The sequence below is a fragment of the Homo sapiens genome, chromosome 11, assembly GCF_000001405.40.
Source record: "Homo sapiens chromosome 11, GRCh38.p14 Primary Assembly".
Lineage (NCBI taxonomy): Eukaryota > Metazoa > Chordata > Mammalia > Primates > Hominidae > Homo > Homo sapiens.
This window is the reverse complement of record NC_000011.10, coordinates 102,143,146-102,165,731: the sequence shown is the minus strand read 5'-3', so window position 1 is coordinate 102,165,731 and position 22,586 is coordinate 102,143,146. Positions and strand designations below refer to the sequence as shown.

Below are 22,586 nucleotides of genomic sequence, written 5' to 3'. Positions count from 1 at the left end.
TTAAATGAGACAGTGCAAAATGGACCTTCACTGAATGCCTGGTATATAAATAAGAATTATTATTATACTATTATTATTGTTAAATACCTTCTAGCACGCTGTAAACATGCTCAAGCCTCTTCAGAGGTGGCTTTTCTCATTTCAGTTCCTTCTTCCAACTCTCTCCTCACAACCCTCTCCTTTATGCCTTCTCCCCCTCACTCCTAACCCTCCAGTCACGCTTTTTGCCACTCCACTGAAACTGTGTCAAAGTCACCTCTTTACTACATATAGCTCTATTATTTAGACATGTATATGCATACTAATTTTTATGTAATATATTAAAACATTTCATATTTTACAAACAAGACAAAAATTTTTGTTGTTGTTGTTAAGATGGGGTCCCACTCTATCACCTAGGCTGGAGTATGGTGGTGCAATCACAGGTCACTGTAGCCTCAATTTCCCAGGCTCAAGCCATCCTCCCACCTCAGCCTCCTGAGAACTGGGTGAGACTTCACTTATGCACCACCATGACAGACTATTTTTTTTTTTTTGTAGAGACAAGGTTTCACCATGTTTCCCAGGCGGGTCTCAAACTCCTGGGCTCAACTGATCCTCCCACCTTGGTCTCCCAAAGTGCTGAAATTATAGGTGTGAGCCACTGTACCTGCCCAGGACATACAGCTGAAATAAAACATCCACAATTATTTTCAAACCCACTAAAACCGGCTGGACATGGTGGCTCATGCCTGTAATCCCAACACTTTGGGAGGCCGAAGACAGGCGGATCACCTGAGGTTGGGAGTTCAAGACCAGCCTGACCAACATGGAGAAAACCCTTCTCTACTAAAAATACAAAATTAGCCATGCGTGGTGGCGCATTCCTATAATCCCAGCTACTCAGGAGGCTGAGGCAAGAGAATCACTTGAACCAGGGAGGCGGAGGTTGTGGTGAGCTGAGATCGTGCCATTGCACTCCAGCCTGGGCTACAAGAGCAAAACTCCATCCAAAAGAAAAAAAACAAAAAAACCCACTAAAACCAAGTTGATACATACCTTTGACTTAAAGCATAAATTTCAGCCGAAATACTCTCATTTCTCTAGACCATCACCATCAGAAAACATAATAGGACACAACCAAAGCAATGTTCTAAAAGAATTACAATCAACCTTGTTAGACGCGAAATACTTACTCTTCCAAAATAAAGTTTAAATTAATGTTATCTGTCATTAACTGCCGAGATAATTTTTAGATGGAGCATGACAAAATGAATAATGTGAATCATCTTGTTTAACCATAAATACAGGGCAGATTTCACAACTTTATTTGAAAATTTGGTAATAAAAAAACATAATAGTTGCCAAGTAAAAATATTAATATTTGTACAATTTTTGTCTTAAAATTTTTTTAATTAGGGGCCAGGCATGGTGGCTCACGCCTGTTATCCCAGCACTTTGGGAGGCCAAGGTGGGCAGATCACAAGGTCAGGAGTTTGAGACCAGCCTGGCCAACATAGTGAAACCCCGTCTCTACTACAAATACAAAAATTAGCTGGGTGTGGAGGCAGGCGCCTGTAGTACCAGCTCGGGAGGCTGAGGCGCGAGAATCACTTGAACCTGGGAGGCAGAGGTTGCAGTGAGCTGAGACCATGCCATTGCACTCCAGCCTGGGTGACAGAGTGAGACTCCGTCTCAATAAAAAAAAAAAAAAAAAATTTTTACTTAAGTGTCACATATAAAAGAGATTCTGAGAATGTATTCGTAGTATAATGAGTTAAATTTAGATTTAAGGAATTTTTCTTCAGAATTTAAAGTCTATGTCAAGAAAAGCCCAATCACAAATGTTGCCATTTTCTTTGTTTTCCACTCTTAACTCTTTAGAACTCAAATGTTCAACCCACCAAAAGCAAGAGCAGAGGTATGTAACAGCAGAAACATTCCAGCACGAGGGGCAGAAGGACATTTCAAGTTCTGTGAATTCGCCTAGTCAAGGAACCCTCCTGTCAACTAATGGTACCACCCTTCCCACCCAACCACAACAGTCCCTTGCCAAAGACTGCTGTTTAAGAAATCTACTGTGTAGCTACTAAATATGCTTGTTATCTAGGGAAAATGCATGGGCGGTGGAGAAAGCCATCAAGTCTACTAGAGCTGCCACATACTATTGTTGCCATCTGTGTCCTGAACCTGGGCACTGAGCAGCGGGGTAAAGCGTGGGGGCCAGGGGAGTGGTCAGAAATCCAGCCCAAATGCTCCAATCTCTGATGCCAGGCACAATGTTACATCTTCCCAGAGGAAGGGCACCTTTTCCTAATATGTACAAAGGTACATAATGGGCTAACTGTGGCCTTGAACCCACCTAACAAAGGAGAAAGACGCCAGACAGTATGTGATAAGGAAGATGAAGGGGCTAAACTTTCACTTAGTACCTACTCTGTAATTACTAGAGGCTTCATATAAATTGTATTATTTCCTTTCATATCTTCCCTTCTATCATAAGGGGCACTGTTACTCCCCATTATGTAGATGAGAAAAACTGCATATTCAAGTAAATTGCCAAATAAGAGGTAGAAAAAGATTTATACTCAGGTTTATCTTCTAGTAAAAAAGGTGAAGATGCGTTTAATAATCCATGCTTGCCCTGGGAATAAGAAATATTCTTTTGGGTTTACAAAAGTTACTGCCTTCCAGATATTTTCAGAGTAGAATGAATAACACCACATTAAAAGTTGGGTTAAGAACACCATAGCAAAAAAAAAAAATGAAAAAAAAAATAATAATAATAAAAAATAAGAACACTATAGCTTGGCTTTCCATCCAAACCACAAAGGGAAGAGGGTAAATTCAACTCAAATACCTGAGACACAAGAAAGCAGCAGAATAAAACCAAATACGTCAAAATTAACAGAACTACAAATTTGAGATACCCGCTTCAGAACCAAATCTTAAAGAACCACTGGCTTTCAGTTATCGGCCCCCTTATGCGTTAACAACTATACAAGGCAATAATATAGCTTACGTTATTTTAAAATAGACTATGTCTTCTGTATGAAACTGGAGAGACAATAAACATCACCATGTCCCAGTTTCTGTAAACGAGTAATGACTATTTTCCACATCAACTTTTACCAATGCGTAAGCATTACTCCATGTGCTGTAATTACAGTGTCTCACTCACCTGAAGCCGAGTTCATCATATTCTGCTGCACTGGTGGACTGGTGGGGGCTGTGACGTTCATCTGGGACAGCATGGCCTTCCTGGGGTCCTGCCATGTTGTTGTCTGATCGATGTGACTAAGACAAAACAAACCACTGCATTAGGAAACAAATACCAGGTTCCAAAAACAATTCTTATCTTGTGGGCTCATAATCAAAGGGTGCCAAGCGAGCTCTGTAAAAGCATTAAGTCACAGCATCTCACTGCTCCCACCAGCCTCCCTCTGCAACAGACATTTTTCACCCTTAAATCACTCAACTTTCAACTCTTAGATCTTACAAGTGCAACATCTGAAAAAGTTATGCCTGGAATTTTAAGTGAAAGGAAATCATCTTCAACTATTAAGATAATTATTACCCCTTCTAATGCAAAGATACAATGTAGTTTGTAAACTAAAAGAGTAACCATATGACTAAAACCCAAGATTCATAAGAAATTCATACACTTATTTTCTCCTAGAGATAAGAATGCCAAATAACATAATTTTTAGGCCTAAAACGCCTTTTTAAGGTAAAACACCACAAAACCCCAAAAGTCATCTTCTTACATACTCCAAAGCCAAAGCAGAACTTTAAACTTCATCTGTAAGTTTTCATTTTCCCCTGTGGCTCCTGAATAACATGTTCTTACACAAAGCCCTTTGATGTTTGCTGAACATTTTCTACATAATTGTTAACTTACTGAGAAATACATGTATACATATAGATTTCTTAATCTATAAAGTTGGGAATTAAAACAGCTAAATACCATGAAATGTAAGACTGCAAGGCATCTAGCACGTTATCTGACATACAAACTTGCAATAAGTACTAAGTTTTCTTGTAGCAAAGTTTCATTGTTTCAATGAAAGAAAAACTAGATATATTATACAAATAAAACTACCTTAAAAAGTATCCTGCATTAATAGCCAGAAGTAATAAAACCCTTATATATAAACATCTCTTCAGTATCATTTATTACAGCAAGCATTTGAAAGCCAGTTAACATTTAATGATAGGGAATTGGTTAAACATGGATATATATGATGGACTGTATGCAGCTGCTGAAAATGTTTTAGAAGAACATATAATATGAAAAAATATTAATAATACAGTTTTTAAAAATAGGTTATAAAACAGTATGTATTGGACAAGGCTAATTGTTTAGTGTGTGTGTGTGTGTGTGTGTGTGTGTGTGTGTGTGTGTGTAGTGAAAGTACACAGAAAGACTCTGGGAGGCCGAGGCGGGCAGATCACAAGGTCAGGAGATCGAGACCATCCTGGCTAACACGGTGAAACCCCATCTCTACTAAAAATACCAAAAAATTAGCCAGGCGTGGTGGCGGGCGCCTGTAGTCCCAGCTCCTCAGGGAGGCTGAGGCAGGAGAATGGCGAGAACCTGGGAGGCGGAACTTGCAGTGAGCCGAGATGGCACCACTGCACTCCAGCCTGGGCAACAGAGCCAGATTCCATCTCAAAAAAAAAAAAAAAAAAAAAAAAAGAAAGAAATTATTGGTGACACTGGCCAAGAGCCATTTTAGAGGGACAGTGAGAGTACAGTGAGTAGGAAGTAAAGAAGCAGACAAATTTAGTTGTGCACAGGAAATAAAAAGCTAAATAGGTGGTTATGAGTTCTTGTTTTTTCAAGAGGAAGGGATACAAGTGTTTAAATGTGAACACAGAGTAGCTGAAGATGTGCAAAGGGATTATTGATGGGGCACAGTCATCCTTCAGAGAGCAGGAAGGAATAGGATACAAGCATTGCTTCCACTGTAATAGGAGGTAAGAAAGCAAGCAAATAACTTCATTGGCTGGTGAAAGTTAAGCAAATTCTCGTACTACTGGCAACTGCCAATTCCAGTTATGTGGCATTACCAGGAATAAAAACACGTCTTTTAGCTTCTGGCTTGGGAGTTCTTGTCACTCCATCTTACTGGTCTCAAAGTAAAAAACGGTTTTTCTAAAATGATAAGTTTGCTACTAGCCGAGTAGAATTTTTACAGAGAATCCTTTTAAATGCTTTCTTTTTCAAATCATCTATTAAGACGAATCCAGAACTAGCACATAAACTCTGCTGTCAGAACAGAAAGCTACATGTAATATACATAATACACAATGTTCATGATTTGTTAACTGATAGCACTGGTAAAGAGATAAACTGGTTATGGCGGTATTATGCTTACTATTTCTACACCTTTAAGTTGGTGGTTTGAAGCTTAAAAAAATATGCTGGGCCAGGCGCAGTGGCTCACGCCTGTAATCCCAGCTCTTTGGGAGGCCAAGGCGGGCGGACCACCTGAAGTTGGGAGTTCAAGACCAGCCTGACCAACATGGAAGAACCCTGTCTTTACTAAAAACACAGAATTAGCCAGGCATGGTGGCACACGCCTGTAATCCCAGCTACTCGGGAGGCTAAGGCAGGAGAATCGCTTAAACCCAGGGGGCAGAGGTTGCGATGAGCCAAGATCACGCCATTGCACTCCAGCCTGGGCAACAAGAACAAAACTCTGGCTCAAAAAAAAAAAAAAAAAAAAAATCCTTTATGTAAATCAGGTTTTGTCAGCTATACAAATTTAATATAGATTTTTGATTCTTTTGAAATGTCTGATACATTTCTTGACGCTACTCTTCCTCCAGGGGTAATCTTTTCCCCAACTGGCCCACAAAGCACCTAATTTCTATCCAACCTTTTAAAGACCCAGAAGCCTCCTCCTTTTGGAAGACTCCTCTGTGGAAAAGAAAAGTCAAGCAGATGTATATTACAATCCCAGCTCTGCCAATGACAATCTGGATTGTGTGGGCAATTTTTATCAATCTGCTCTACCTTCAATAAAGTGGGACTGATTTATTTACTTACTTTCCAGGGTTGAGGTAATTAAATTCAGTAACATATATAAAAGCAACCAGGACTGTGACTCCTGGTACGCAAAAAGCCCTCAAAAATTTCATTCTGTTGCTACCCCAATATTTAAAATAGGAAAAACTTCATGGTGAATGGGCCAAGAATATGTTTTGTTAAAAATGAGATAAGAGTTCAGTTAAGTGAAGATGACAGGTCTAGTTTAAGAGCTTTAATAGGAGTTTGGTTTTCACCAATAAGTAATGAAGAGATGCAGTAGGTAGATGCCACAGGTTTGAAGGCAAGGAACAGAAATGATAAAAATGTTTCTGGACCGTTACTTCAACCTGCAGAGAGCTATCAGCTTAGGGAAAGAATTAACCAGAAGCCTGGACATGTGAACGGAGACCCTCCTGCTGCAGGCTGAGCACTGCGCCCTGGGTACCTGCTGGCTGGCTGGGCTTTGAGGACCTGTGCGGCACCACAACCTGTCAATAAACACCTCGCCAGCAAAAACAAACACAAACAAACAAACAGAGAGAGACAGAGAATGAACTAGAAAAGGAACTCAGCAAGTGTAGACTATATTGGCTCCTAGGGGAAGGGGAACAACATAATAATTTGGAAATAAAATAAAAATCTCATCCCTATAACCAAATGCCGCAAAATATTAATTGCTAAAAACCTTTCCATACAATCAATTTTTACTTAAGCCATAAGATAGTCGGTTCTGTCAATATAAACCAAAGCAAAGAATAAACAATATTTCTTAAGCATTAGCCAAAGCTCATCCTAATAAATTCTAAAACACACTTCAAATTCTTGATTGTGTGTTTTATTTTCAAATGCTGAATCTATAACCCTTATTTAAGGAACACTGAACAACATAATCAAAATGGGCTTTATAGTAATGAAAACACTGATGACTTTCTTATACCTATCTTCAAAGTTTAGGATTATAATTTTATAATGCTAATTTGTGAAAGCACTAGTAGGAGGTTAGTGCTCATGTAGGTTAGTAAAATAAATAACTAAAAATAATATACTAAGAAAGAGATTAACATTGATACTGGTACTGTGATAAGGTTTGGAAACTTCAAAGAATGGATACTATCAATTCTTTCATACCCCTGCTATTCAAGAGTGTGGGCCTTGGGCCAGCAGCACTGAGCACACCCAGGAGCTAGTTAAAACTGCAGAAACTCAGGCTCCACCCAACCCACTGATGAAGAATCTATAGTTTAATGAGATCCTCTGTATGTTCGTTGAAGTTTGAGAAGCACTGCCTTAGATACTACTTTGAGATTTGATCACCTACAACATTGTTTTAAGAACGACATATGCCTGGAGGGTAAATATTTTGTGTCCATGATAAAGCAAAAACCACTAATCTGAGGAGTTAAGCAACCTCTGAAACTCTCAATTTGTAAAATGATTCCATCTTGGTTAAAATCTAGAACTAGTATCAGTAGAATGAAACTGTTTTTAAACTTAAACCTAACTATATTGTATCTTTTGTCCTCTTTTCTTAATCCATTTTTGAAAATATGTTTCTTCTAAACTAAAAAACTTGTAAAACCGATTTTTCACAAAATCCCAGGAGTGTAATCTTAAATCGTTTGTACCTGTGCACAGCTACCTAACAAACTGGTTCCTTCCAAGTCTGCTAAGATTTCGTGATGTCAGATGGCACAAATTAGGCGTTAGGAATTTAATATAATCTACAAACGTTATAAATAGAAGCTTTTTATGGACACTCCAAATACCATAATTAGAAACTTTTTTAAAAATGCAGCTGTCAAGTGTTTAAGCCCCTAACACACCTTTAAGACTGTCTTCATTGTGTTGTAAGGGGAAAAGAGAAAAAAACCCAAACATGCACTTTTGATGATAGTGACCTGCTCAGACACTGAATTTTTTCTGATAAAAGTGAACAAAGATAACATGACAAAAATGTGCTTTATGTGCCCAAAAGAGACATCAGGACAACCAAGTCACCCACTTCCCTGAAGAAAAGTGAGAAAACTTGAACTTAAATATATGTAAGACCTCACAAAGCCTAGTATCTAATGAGAAATCAAATGACCAACTAAACAATCTTTTTTTATTAAGAAAAATTGACTTTTAGTAAACAATAAAACTGGAAAACCAGGAATAATACAAAACGGTGTGAAGAATGTTTTAAGCTTTTAATATTGTTGTCAGGCCCTCAAAATACTATGATGGCAGTACTGGGAGTGGGCAGTCAGCCCAGATTTACTGCTCACTTATCAGGCCCATGTTTGTTGTGCAAGTGTTATAGAGTCACATGCTAGAGGCTGTTCCCAAACTAGCTAAACCTACACGCTTAACTGACTCTAGGAACAATGATACATTGTTCAATCTAATCCTTCCATGAGCCACAGTTCCTAAACCACAACTATAGGCTTTTTATATTTGTATATGTCCATGGTGGACTATTTCTAGAACCTCAAAAATTCAGTGATTATGCATATACTATATTTCCTTGACATGCATGAGAAGACGTAAACATTTTGCCTCTATGATAATATGGTTTCTGCACTACAGGATATCAGAATCTTAAATTGAAATTTAAATAATTAAGCTATCACTGAAGGCTGTTAATGAGTTAAAATTATGAACAAGTATGAGCAGAAATACATAAAAGCAAACATGACCATTTATTATAAGTCTACAAACTGTACACCACACTATAATCTGACCCTATAGCTTTAGGTTTGATAAAATTAACATTTGCCCGCAAGCATGAAACCAATTTAAACACAACTTAAACATGTTGACAAAAAAAGTGACATGCTGACATGTTTATATATAATACATCTCCCCTGGGAAATGATTATTCCCTAAGGAAAGGGTGAGGATGGACCAGCCATGAGAATAATGCCAAAGCTCAAGTGGAGGCTTCCTGAAGCAAGCACAGTTCTCTCAATCTTGATCCCAAATGGCGTGTACCTGAAGTTACGTTCAGCAAAATTGAACATCTTTTCCTAATGCCATAGTGACTGAGAATATTCCTCCCAAAAGTTCAAAAATTGTATTTGTCCTGATTTCATGATATAGAAAACAACAGATGTCATTAGAGTATGAACTGAAAACAAAGACTAGAATTCCAATGATAAGGTCCACCTAGCTCTTTTCGTAATAATCACCTTACAGGGAAAAGGCAAAAAAAGAGAAATGGCAGAACTAAAAATAAAGAAATATTTTAAAACAGCCCTGAGAAATTTTAGTTACAGAAAGTCTGCTGTAAGTGTTTTTCAAAATGTGGTTCCCAAACAACCTGCATCAAAATTAGCAGGGCAGACTTATTAGCACCTGGGTATTTTTATGAATAACAACAGTTATTTCAGGAAAATAATTGACCTAGCAATTTTACATGTTCTTTCATAATCTCAGATCTTTACATACAGTAAGACATTTATTTACCCAAAAGAGCCAAAATAGCAATTCAACCTCTTCAAAAGATGGTTGGTGGTTTTCTCATATTCTACTGTTTTGCTTAAACTGACATTCCTGAACAAATACTATTTTAAATGGAACTACTACATGTCAGATGTCAAAAAGAAGTGAACTTTCTTATATAGGTTACAGACATTGGCAGTATTATCTTTTCATTTTATAATTGTCAGTCTAGGCACAGAATAAAAAAAAAACTGTGAAGATGAAACAAATGTGATGGGTACCAACTCTGACCTCATTTGTCATGACATGACTTAGGAGTAATGCCCTCAACCAAGGACCAGGAAGGAAGACAGGTTTAGGCAGTCAAACAAAGTTATAATCAGTGTTCTGTGGCCACATCAGACACCAGTGGCTTCCAAATAAGGATCTGTTCAGTCGGCTGGCTCATACGACTACAGTGAGGGAATCTAGTTACAAATCTGGAACCACATTCACTGTATATTTATGGTGACATTCAAATTTTCAACTGTTAACAACATAACAGGGCTTCGGCCACCCAAAATATTATTACAACACAAGTCTAACAGCGAGGGAAACATTTCCCAAAGGGTAAATCACCAGGAAAAGAGTCAGGAAAATCCACACTAAACGCTTCTTAGCAAAGTGGGCAAATGGTCTTCATCAAAATAAAGTGTATATGGAACTTGTAACGTAAACTGCTGACACCACCCACTCCTCCTCCAGCCATTTTGATGAAAATAATACAAACAGTCAAGGAACCTTCTGTGTTCTTTACCACTTACTTTTAACAAGTTTGGTAACACTACAGAATGTCTTCAATCATCTACAAAGATTCATATTGTAAGTTAGCAAAATAACTTGGGGAGGGGCCCCAAAACATAAAACAATTTAACTGTTACATATTCTATACGTAATGTATGTCAAATAATGAGATGGTTTCCATACAAATAGATACTAAGCACAGAGTCTTACCTAGTCTTAACTACTCATTAAATGATATAAAAAATCTATTTTACTTTGATGTTTCATTATTCGTTAGATGTCATTTTTAGGAAATGTTATTTAGGTAACTTTGAAACTTTGGTAATGCTTTCAGGGCCTTCCACAATCAGAAAAGAGGGCAGGACAGTGGTAGAAAGGCATTAGATTTATTTAAGTTGGGAGTTAGGTTACCCAATCTCAGTGAAGTAATTTGACTTTTCTGAACCTCTGCTTCAGCAGCTGTGATATATAACAGGCCACCATTAAACAGGAACAAATACTTCACCTATTGACTGCCTACTGTGTTGTGCAAAACAAAGTATGTTATCCATATAACCAGTTTTAAAGTAAATAAAATAATATCTGATGTCAACACTGTTCAGTCTTTTGGCTCACATGTCTGCTGTGAGGGAATCATACTTAGCTACAAACCTGAAACCATATCCATTGCGTATTTATGGCAACATTCAAGTTTTCAACTGTTAGTAACACATTGGGTGTTAAATTACCAATAAGTAACAAAGTAATTTAAAGTAAGTAAGGGAACCCTTGGCTAAATAAAGGTTACTGGTGATAATAATAAATTAGTGAATAAGTTTTACACGTAGGACTATGACAGATATTAAGGTGGCTTACCAGATCTGTGGATTTCGTATGTGGCAAAAGAGTGGTGGGATTCTTTCAATCATGGCCAAAAATTCTTGCAATAGTCACCCATCATTCTTCCATCCATTAATATCTCTTTGTATGATTATAACATGCTGTGTTTTTCTCTGTATGTATGTATATACACACATATATATATACACATGCATGTGTAATTTTTTTTTAAAGAAAATAAATGCTAGACACTCATACAAATCATGCTTACAGGACTGGCTTACTTAGAAGAGTCAGTAGTCTTTCAATACCAAATTACAAATACAGATTAAATGTCTTCCCTTCTGTCTCCTCTGGATTTAACATGTTTACAGAGAGAAAGCAAGAGAACACAGTTGTGGTATAATCATATAAAGATATTTTAAATTCCCTAGTTCACCAGAATCAGAACATTTGTTCAGGCTGAAAACTAGGATTCAACTTGCTTTCTGTTAAGTTGCAATTGAAATGTGATCCTGTCAGTGAAAATACAGCTTTCTTCTTTGAACCTCTCAAGTTAAATGACTATGAAATTCCATTATACTATGAAATATATTATCACCTTTTTGAGGGGGATTTTTATGGCTACTGGTAGAAAATGTTACTAATAGTCACAGTCATGGTCATTAAAAAGAAATTAATAAAAAGGTTATACTGTAAATATTAAGTAACATGATCACTTAGAGACTGCCTCAATCTATGAGACCCATGCTAGCAGGCTGGATCTTTAGTGTTACATGAGGATTACACAGAAGGTGGGTTCACAGGTTTCTAGGTCTTACAGATTTTTTTTTTTTTAAGAGTTCCTCTGTATGGAGAGGAATATTATTCTAGTCTCCCATTAAGATGTCAGATGTCAATTGCCTAGCAGCTCACTAAGAACAAACTCAAGCTCTCGGAATCTAAAAAGTTAGTAAAAAGGCTGTTTACTAAATTGGAAGAAAGATAATTGAGTACAGCAAATATATTAGGAGTTTCATTGAAATTCTTTTCAAAATTCTTCCAATAACTAAAAAGATTAATAATTACTGAGAAAGGTTCCTGAAGCAGGAACTCAATTTGGTTATCCACAGAACTCACTTCATTGAATTTCTAATTCACATATAATAAACACATAGAAAATAACTGATACTTCAATGCTGTATCAGAAAACACTCTTGCATTTTAAGGTGAGAAGACTGACATACCTAAGAATTATAAAAGAAAGATGATTTCTCTGCTATCCTTTTTAAAAAGAAGACAAAGTTCTATACATGTAAGAGTTTTCATAAAATGTTTTGTCCACTACAACTGTGGTGGGGAGGAGCAGTGGAAGAGTGCGCAGTGACTTTAACCATCTGTGAATCACTCATATCTGTGATACTGTGGAAAATTTTGGTCACTATTGCTCAAAACTGACATATGTAACTGCTACACAAAAGATGAACTATGAAAATGGCTTAAGGGATGGAACAAAGACTAGGCCTAACTGGAATTGGAACACCTCAGTCTATAAAGATGAAGTCCACATGGAGATGTGATTAAAATCTAAGAGAAAAGGAAAATTTCAAAGTTCTCAAAATATAAAAAACACTTCACACCTGAAAGGAAACTTCAGCCGTAGATCACTACGTCATGTCTCCATGCCCTTGTTCACACAGTATCTCCGCCTTCAATTCCTTTCCCATCCCCACTCCTCTCCTGTCAAGTCTTTGAGGACAGCTCAAATGTCCGCTCTTGGGAAGGTTTCCCTAAGCTCTCTCAGCCTCCACACAGCAGCTAACAGAACCAATGGTCCTCTCCTGCATTTTTGAGGAAAAACCCAGAATACATATATTTCCAAGAAAGGCTGTTAAGTTTCCCTTTAATTACCCAAGGACAGCACAACTTACTTCTACTAATTGAGGCAAACACTAAAATATATTCAGATTACTCAGCTATGTTCCAGGCATAATCTGAATCTTTTGAAACACTTAATAGTTTAACCTTTTGAATGGCTTCATTTGGTGATTAAGCAAATAAAAATAACAGAATTGCTGAAATCGAAGGGCAAACTCACACAGAAGAATACAATGTCAGAAAGAAACTTGGAGACCACCTGACCAACTGTTTCATTTTATACACAAAGAAATGGACATTTAATTAAGGGCCCACAATAAGACTAAAACACATATTTTCAGACTTACAGAGTAGCCTGGCTTTCCCTAGACAAAACCCAGACTTACCTCTCAAATCGAGGCGAATCTACAGAGGCCAGAGTGAAAGTCGCATGGCCACTGCCTTATGTGTCACCTCCCCAACAACTGCTAACATCGGGGTCACTGGTAGAAGAGCATCTATGATTACTTTCAGGTCAATGCCTCAGAGGTTGAGAAACAAGTCACTACAAAGCTGTTTCATCAGCATCTTACAGATAGCTTTTCATTAGCGGTGAGAAATGGTTACTGAAGACTATATGTGAACCAGATTGAATACAATAATAGTTCACTTATCCAGGCCATCAATAAAGACAGTATAGGCCAAAAGTTCCTTCACAGATAAGTGAAAGGACCTCTTCATTTGGACTCCCAGGTGTTGGGCATTTCCTATTAACTACTGTTTCTAATCTGCTGTCTTAAGTTATGGGGAAAATATCTGGCAGTTACACTGAAGCCTCTTCTGTTTATTCCTGGACACACAGCTGTGTTCAATAAGGTTGTCTGGCCTCAGTTAAGTGAGCTGTGATACACAGCTTATGGGATGAGTGCTCCTCTTAACCTTGTAGCCCAATCCTCCCTCACTCTGTACATAATTAAAACTCATAATGGTCACTCAACCATGCCTGAGGTGATGGCACTAATGGGTCGTAGAGGCAGAACTAGAACTCAAGTCTCCTGTCAATCAGCTTCTCTCTCCACAATCCCAACCCTCTCCATACCACCAAAAAAACCGCACTAAACCTAAGCCAAACAATATTATCTGAGCTACAGTTTGTCTAAAGCACTTACTGAACACCTACTAAGTGCCAAGTACTGCTGACATCAAAATGAATAACACATAATCCCTGACTTGGAGGAGCTTATCTTCTAGTGGGAAAGATCCATAAAGATACAACTTGAATATAAAATGACAGAGGTTAGAAATGAATATAAAATGATCTATAAATGAATATAAAATGATAGAGGATAGAAAAAGGTTTAGGGTGTTTATGGAAAGGTTCTTGGTACAACCTAGTGATACAGAGGAGGACACATAAAGGTGACAGCCTCTGAAGGCAATGCTGAATAATCTATAAAATTAGCCAGCTGGAGAGACTGGAGAAGCATTCTTGAAAGAGAGGCAAGGGGAAACCATGGGCTAAATTACAGAGGTATGATTTCTGTACCACTTAAATGAGAGAACCCAAGTACATTTCAGCTAAACCCCACTGGCTGAAAAAGGGCTTAACATGATTCTAGCAACCAAATATGTCTTCAGACATAGCCAAATGTACCCAGGAAGGAAAGGGACAAAATCATCCCTTGTTGAGAAGTACTATTCTAGTCTTAAGAATAAAGACCATGTTCAGCCAGGCGTGGTGGCTGACGCCTGTAATCCCAGCACTTTGGGAGGCTGAGGTGGGCAAATCACGGGGTCAGGCATTCGAGACCAGCAACCACGGGGTCAGGCATTTGAGACCAGCCTGGCCAACATGGTGAAACCCTGTCTCTACTAAAAATACAAAAATTAGTTCGGCATGGTGGTGCACACCTGTAATCCTAGCTACTCAGGAAGGTGAGGCAGGAGAATCACTTGAACCTAGGAGGCAGAGACTGCAGTGAGCCAAGATTATGCCAATGCACTCCAGTATGAGTGACAGAGCAAGACTGTCTCCAAAAAAAAAAAAAAAAACCATTTGTATGTATGTTTTCACTGAAAAAAGATTTGCATGTGTAAAAATTTTTTGACAAGGTTCTATTAATATTCTTAATATGACAATATATTTTTAACATGTTTTAAGGTTTAAAGCATAAATTAAGCCAACACACATTTTTTTAAGTTACTGTAAGCCATACACAATGCTATAGACATGTGGGGGCTAAAAAATGAGTAGTACAAGATAGAATCCCTACACTCGAGGATGTCATTTAAAGGGAGAAAAAGATTTGGGTGAAACCATTAGATAATCACATACATTATATAATGCAGGCTTAATTGGTAACTGAACTATTTGATAATATATTTTATATCTCAACAATTTGCTATGTAAGATAACTAAGCACTACGTCATCACTTTAAAATCTCCCAAGACACTGACTGGCAATACTTTACTTGGCCAAAGATCAAAACATTCTGAAACTTCTTGATTGGCAGACAAAAGACAAGGGATGCTAAAATGATACTTCTAATTTCTGTGCAAAGTAGTAAGCAGGCTGGGCGCAGTGGCTCACACCTGTAATCCCAGCACTTTGGGAAGCCGAGGCGGGAGGATCACCTGAGCTCAGGAGTTCAAGACCAGCCTGGCCAACATGGTGAAACCTCGTCTCTAGTAAAAATACAAAATTAGCCAGGCATGGTGGCACATGCCTGTAATCCCAGCTAATCAGGAGGCTGAGGCAGGAGAATCGCTTGAATCCACTAGACGGAAGTTGCAAGGAGCCGAGATAGCGCCACTACATTCCAGCCTGGGCCACAGAGCAAGACTGTCTCAAAAAAAAAAAAAAAAAAAAAAAAAAAGCACACTACTCAAAATCTCTTTTTTAGCAAATATCAGTAGAGCAGTGGAAAGACATACTCCAGTAATCTATATTTCTTCATATACGCAATTAGTTAATGAATGTTCCTGAGCAACAACTATGAGCAAAGTCATCATGCCAGGTGATGTCAGGTACAGAATAAGGGAGATCCAGTCTCCAACTGGAGTCCAAAGTTGCAACAGAACAAGAAAGAGGAGGAAAATTAATTTAATCTTTTATGTAACTGAAAACAAAGGTATTCATCGTTCCTTTCCCAAACAAATCCTTCCTACTTTTCCATGATCACAAAAGCAATATTAAGTTATTTACATACCATTTCTGTTTTTACTTTCTATACTCAGCAATAACAAGTTTGGCCAATCATTTCACATATACCTTAAAAGACTTAAACTATACTCCCTGTATCACAAGCCACTTCCATGTAAATTGCTAGGCCAGCTTCCCTTAAACATAACTGATGTTAGTCTTTCCCCTCCCTTGACAATAAATCTGCCTTCCTCTTTCATCCATCTCCTGGCTTAACATTCATTTTGAACCCTTTATCTCACTAGCTTCTTTTCTCTCTTGAAGGTATCCTATCAATTTCTAATCCAGCATACATATCATACCCATCTTATTCCATCTCCCTGTACAAACCATGTCTCTTCCTTCTCTTATCCTACAGCTTCTTCAAAGCCTGGCTCCAAAACATGCCTGTTCAGGAAGTTGCAGATTGACTCCAATGGCTGGTGATCTCCTATCTAAATGTGCTCAGGTTACATAGCATTAATATATCTTCAATTTGTTGCCTTTAGGAACAATTTCAAGATTTCCTCCAAATCCTCCAGTATGGTGTTTTGCCCAGAAATGTCACTTTAATAAGCAAAAGGAACTCATATTTCAAACTGTAACCAACAAAAACTACATAGCAACACATGAAGAGGTAAAAGATATCAGAATACCACACAAAGCAGTAAAAAAGTAATATTTTAATAGGCTCTATCTATCATTTGCAGCTAGTGGAACAACAAATAGTTATAACTGTACTAGAGAACTGTTTGGCAATATTAAAAGATTATAGTTAAACAGTCTGAAAATATACAGCCAATAAGTTATCAATCGGTTATGAGATCATTTATTTGTTCTTTTGGCTTTTATATACTTTCAAACATTTCCTCCTATATTAAATCTCTACATGTGCAATAAAAAGCATAATTTGTATATGTTCTTAAAAGTAGATTGATATAATGACCAAGAACAGACAGAAGGTGAGGAAAGGCATTTCAGATACTGATGTCTTGTCCAGAGAACAGTAAGAGAAATAATATCTTAAAAATATATTGAATAAATACTTTATAATGATTCTAGTGCTGTATGGTTACCCCCAAGTTGACACCAATACTGAGTATCATGAACTCTCATGGAATCCTTAAACTAGGCACATTAATGCCATCCAAAAACCATCAGTGTGTAGCACACGTTAAGTACACGGGATTTATTGAACTGAGTGAACCACCACTAAACCACCTAAGTCTTTGTCATAGCTCTTGTTTTTTTCAGTTCTTGTCTATCACACAACATTTCTCAGATAAACTTAATCCAAAGCTTCTCTTTTTGCAGAAACACAAGTGTCATAAATGTACACTTATTTCAGCTTTCAAACCAATGATCTTCTTAGGCTCCCCCAAAGCCTTGAAACCATGTGTTTATAGACAAGTCAGATGTTTACTTGCAGCTTAGAGATCAAAGCTGCAATCTCTTACAAGTCAACTAAGAAACACCAAAGTTTCCCAATTTTAAGCATGCTCTATTAATTTCATGTTATGAAACTGGCTAGAATTTTAAAACAGAGTAAAAGCATTCAAAATTCTTAAGTGTCTAATATAGACTACTCTGTGTTAATTATTCTAAATAACCAAGGATAGTCATAAAGCTAACACAATGCTAGAAAATTCAAAGATGCTTTCAAAATCCTTTCTATAACTTTAACTTCCACAATATACTCCAATAATTTCTAAAATCTACATAGTAGACATTTTCTTCTCCTTTCACATGACTATCATTCTAATATCTCTAATATGCCAGTTTTTAAAGCCTGTGGTATAGATGACAGAGAAATGGTGTGGTTAATATTAAGTAATATGTACATGGTTACGAAATGTTTAGTAAAAGCTGTTGAAAATAACTAAAATACGTAAGCAAAAGACAGCTAATGACCTGGTTTTAAGATAACTTAATGGTGAAATAAAAAAATGGTGGAGAAAAAAGATTTCCTAAAAACCCCAAAAATAAAAATAATATCACAGAGGCTCTGCCTGTGTAGAAGCCATCCTCAGGGGTGGAGATTCAATGCTGAAACAGATTCTGCCTGTACTTCTTGTTCAATAAGTTGGTCATATTATTTCATCTTTGAACTTCTTTTCCTCATCTGTAAATAGGGATAATGCGCACCTGCCTTAAGCATAAAAGGTGCTCAATGTTAGTTCATTTCCACCAGAGTCTGGATTTATTTCAGCAATTAAATTTAATGATTTCAAAAGGTAGAAAAGACTAGAAAGATCATCTTATTAGCCCTCAAACTCCCGCATGTACATGTAGAAATTTACTATAATATGTTTATCTCTTCATAGTATCAGAATAGAGACTAGAATTTACATCTAAAGATGACTACTGGAGTGTTCTGGCATACTACACTATAAATCCTCATGTGGCTATAATGAGGATTACATTAAAAAATGCAGCTAAAGCACAAAGCGCAGAGCTGGTTAAATAAACATTCAAATACATTTTAGTATATAACAGTGGTTACGTGGACTTTGGTGCCAGATTAACAGAGCTAGAATCCTAAGTGTGCCACTTATTAGTTCTACGATTTTGGCTGAACTGTACCCTAGCTTTCTCAAAAATAAAATAGAGATAACAGAGTTACTGTGAAGACTCACTGAGTTACTCCAGATAAAGGAATTAAAGCAGTGCCTAGCACAAAATAAAGACTCTCTAAATGCTAATCATTATTGTTATTATTGATAGATTTCAGAACAAATCATGCCCTTGAAATTCCCCTGAATATAGTAAAAGCCAGACACAGTATTTTAATTCCATTTAGCAACATTTGAGCACAAATTATTAGTTGTCGTGCTGGAAGAGGAATTAGAGATATGGACCCAAGAATGAAAGTTCCAGAAGCAAGGCAAGCACAGAATCTCAATTCTCCACCAGAATGGAAGTACCTTGTTTAATCAAAACTAAGATCCCATGAATTGTAAGAAGTACCCTAATTTCAGAGGTTAAAATGTAAAAAATAGACATATTAGAGTTGAGGAAATGCTATAGGAATAAAAATGAGTAAAGTAATGCTACAGAAGTTGGGATAAGGGAGGGGTTCAAATGTTATTAGTACGAGCTACAGGAAAAAGATGGTGACACATTTGAGTTAGATCTGAGAGCCTTAAACGATAAAGTAAAAATGAGGGGTGTGTAAGACCTTCTCAGGGTAAGTAGCTGAAGTAGTAAAGAGCATTTACAATGCTACCAATGCATGCATGAATATACAACATGTAAAAGAGGTGCATCTCTTCAGTACATCCAATTGGTGGTGTCTCACAGGCAGGAGAGAGGAGTGAGGAGGAGAGATGGCAGATGCAGATGAGGCTAGAGGCCGGGTGTGGTGGCTCACGCCTGTAACCCTCGCACTTTGGGAGGTCTAGGTGTGAGGATTGCTTGGGGCCAAGAGTTCAAGACTAACCTAGCCAACATAGTGAGACCCTGTCTCTATTTGTCTTTTATTAATTAAAAAAGAGGGAGGGAGAGATGAGGCTAGAAAGGTGATATGGGGCCAGGCTATGGACCTTAATCTGTAGGTCATCGTTCTATGACTTGTCCAAGTACATTACTTATATGTAATTTAACTAACTTAACTAACTAAACTGATTCCTTGACATTCTGACTTAACTAACTTGACCTAACTGAATTTTGATCAAATGATCTATCTTTACTATCTGGGTCAAAGAAGAGGGCTTCTCTTTTAGTCTCTCTGGCAGACAGCAGCTTCATAGCCACTTTTGTCCTGAAAGACTTCAAGACAGTCAGGAATCAAAACACTGCAAATACTGGAAAGTCCAATGAGCAAAATGAGTGAGCAAAGGAGTAAGGAAAGTAGAAATATATATAAGGCATCTTGGATCTGAGAATGGGAATAGTGAATTTATGAAGTATTATTAATCCTGTCCATAAGATGAAAACTTGTGAAGCTCACTATGTTCTGATTTTGAACAGTTCAAACTAATAGGTTATAAAATACAGTCAACATTTTACATTTACTGCCTCACAAATAACCTAATTCTTTGTCCTAATAACGTCTTTTACCTTCAATTTTTTTCTCAGTTCAATATTTATAATTTATAGAACTTAAGTTTTCAAGTATTAGAGACCTAGATGATACAATTATTATAGGTTTCTTATCAAATTGGTTACATTTAACATTAAAAATGGACACTTCTTTCCACAGTGTCTTTCCACATTTGATAGCAACTTCTATGGGGCAGGAGCAGAGGCAGGTCATACATATCAGTGGTATTTCTGATATACCAGAATTCCTTCATGAACTCTTTAAAGAAATTATTCACATTGTACCTCTCTTTATCCCTACAAAGAAATACTTGCTTGGCCACTCAAAACACAATTGGTGAGATTCTAACCAATTACTGGAGAACACCAAAAACACTGAGCTGAACTCCAATCATTAGGCAGAGCACTTCTATTCTTAGGAAAAGGAAGGGTTTGGTTCAGTTGGCAACAGTCCTGGCCTCTGGATCAAGAGGTCACAGTCTCACATTTCACATATGAACTCCGGTTTACAACTCTTGCTAATACTCCTGCAGAATAATTCAAGAGGCATTAAATGACAGCCTTACCAAAAACCAAGTATCCAGTAAAACTTCAAACCCAGAAATACAATATAGAAACAAATTTGACATACTAATCCCTCTTTTAAACAAAAGACTCTGTGCTCAGAAATAGCTGAGAGGGAGGGAAGGAGAAGGAGAGAGAGAGACAGAATAAGTGTGTGTGAGCATGAGTGTGTGAGCATGAGTGTGTGTATGTGTGTGTGTGTGTGTGTGTGTTTTGGCCAAAGGTAGGATAAATGAATTATATTGCATAACTACATCGACACGTTTTTAAACAGTAACCTATTCCAAAAAGGGTAAGGCAACATTCGCAAAATTAAAAGTAAGCTTCTGGTCTCTAAATATTTCTATTAAATAATTTAACTTCATGCTAGGCTGGTGGGCTAAAAATACAGAAAAAATTCTTGCAGAAATGAGATGCCATATCAAGTGATTTCATGTGAACAATCTACAAGCACACAACTCAGACAGGGTGGCACCAAGTGATTAACAGCCCTTTACAAAAATAGATAAATAATGTTGCAATACATGAGCTCTCATTTGAAATACTAGGCTGAATTCCTGAAAGCAGAAGCTTATTCTGCTCTTTAAAAATATGCATCCTAGAAAAATCAATAAGCCACATTACAAATTCATACAACAGGTGACTTACTTTAAATAGCAGAGGTTCTAAAATGGCATAAGGTAACTTTCTTTACATAAATTTTTTTCTCCAATTTAAATAATACAATTGAATATGTACTTTACTCCTATGGGAATAATTTGGCCCTAAGATCATGACAAGAACTATATAACCTGAACTAATTCTGTACATAGTTGAGAAAATATTACTGGGATTTCTCTATGTATATAGGCATAAATAATCATTTCTACAATGTCAAGAATTTTCACTTTTCATTAAACATTGGTTTCTCTGGTAATCACTACTTTCAGTGCTCAATCAGCTATGCTTATGGACTCTTGATCACAGGTCTGGAGCCAGAAAGCACCCTGGAGGTCATCCTGTCTCTTCTCAGGCTGGACTGCCAATGCTGGGATGCCCTCTACAAATATCTGTCAGCCTCTACATTTGCTTAGTTTTCTTTACACGTCTTTATGATGAAGGCCACTTTATCTTAATCAGGTACTATGAAAGAAATCATTCCTATTGCTTATCATTCCCAGAAGTGGGAAATTCCAAGCAGGACAGTTCCATTAAGGAGGTTATGACAAATGACTGTCAATTTGAATTTGCTACTGTTTTCACAGTTATCATACAAAAACTGAGCAACACAAGCATAAATGAAATCTTTATCAACTTCTAAGTCAATATGTAAGTACTAACAAGTAACCTGTTCGATTAAAACACTGGTTTTCAGATAAAACAAGATGGCTATGTAGCCTTCCTTTCATGCCTACACTATGTGTTCTGCTGTTAGCAATAGTCAGGTAATAAAGGGGAACATATATATGGCCCTTTACAGTTTATGTAGTAGTAGTATCACACATTATCGCACATACATAAAATAATCAAGGAAACTTGAGGGTTGGGGCAGATATGGGGGGTGTGCTGGCTAATGTTGGTGAACATTTCCACATCTGTACAATGAGGGTCTACCCATCTCATGGCTTGATGGATGTATTTGATGATATGAAAAAGTATATGCCAATCATATCTTAAATCTGAAAATTTTCCAGTTCATTCAACAACTATTTGGTAAGTGGATGGATACATCAGAATCATCTGGTGAGCTTCTGCAACAGTACTTAATTCTTCCTTATTGATGCCACTTCTTTTAAGGAACATAGCAAGTGCCCCAGTTTAATTCAACAAGTATTTACTGATCACCAAATGAATAAGTATGCCATATGAGATACTACAGAAAACGCAATATAGTCTATATTTCTCTTAACCTATGCCAAAACTTGTTGAAGGGCAAAAACAAA

The 22,586-nt window shown here is 37.2% G+C and overlaps 1 protein-coding gene across 14 annotated transcripts in view; it reads right to left on the bottom strand.

Annotated features, from left to right (window-relative positions):
* Positions 1–22,586, bottom strand: part of YAP1 (Yes1 associated transcriptional regulator) — a 122,978-nt gene that overhangs the window by 67,693 nt on the left and 32,699 nt on the right. For all 14 annotated transcript variants that reach the window (XM_005271378.4, XM_005271381.4, XM_005271380.4 and 11 more), the window contains one exon: positions 3,161–3,276. In XM_005271378.4, the coding sequence (XP_005271435.1) occupies positions 3,161–3,276 (116 nt within the window). The remainder of the gene's footprint in view (positions 1–3,160; positions 3,277–22,586) is intronic.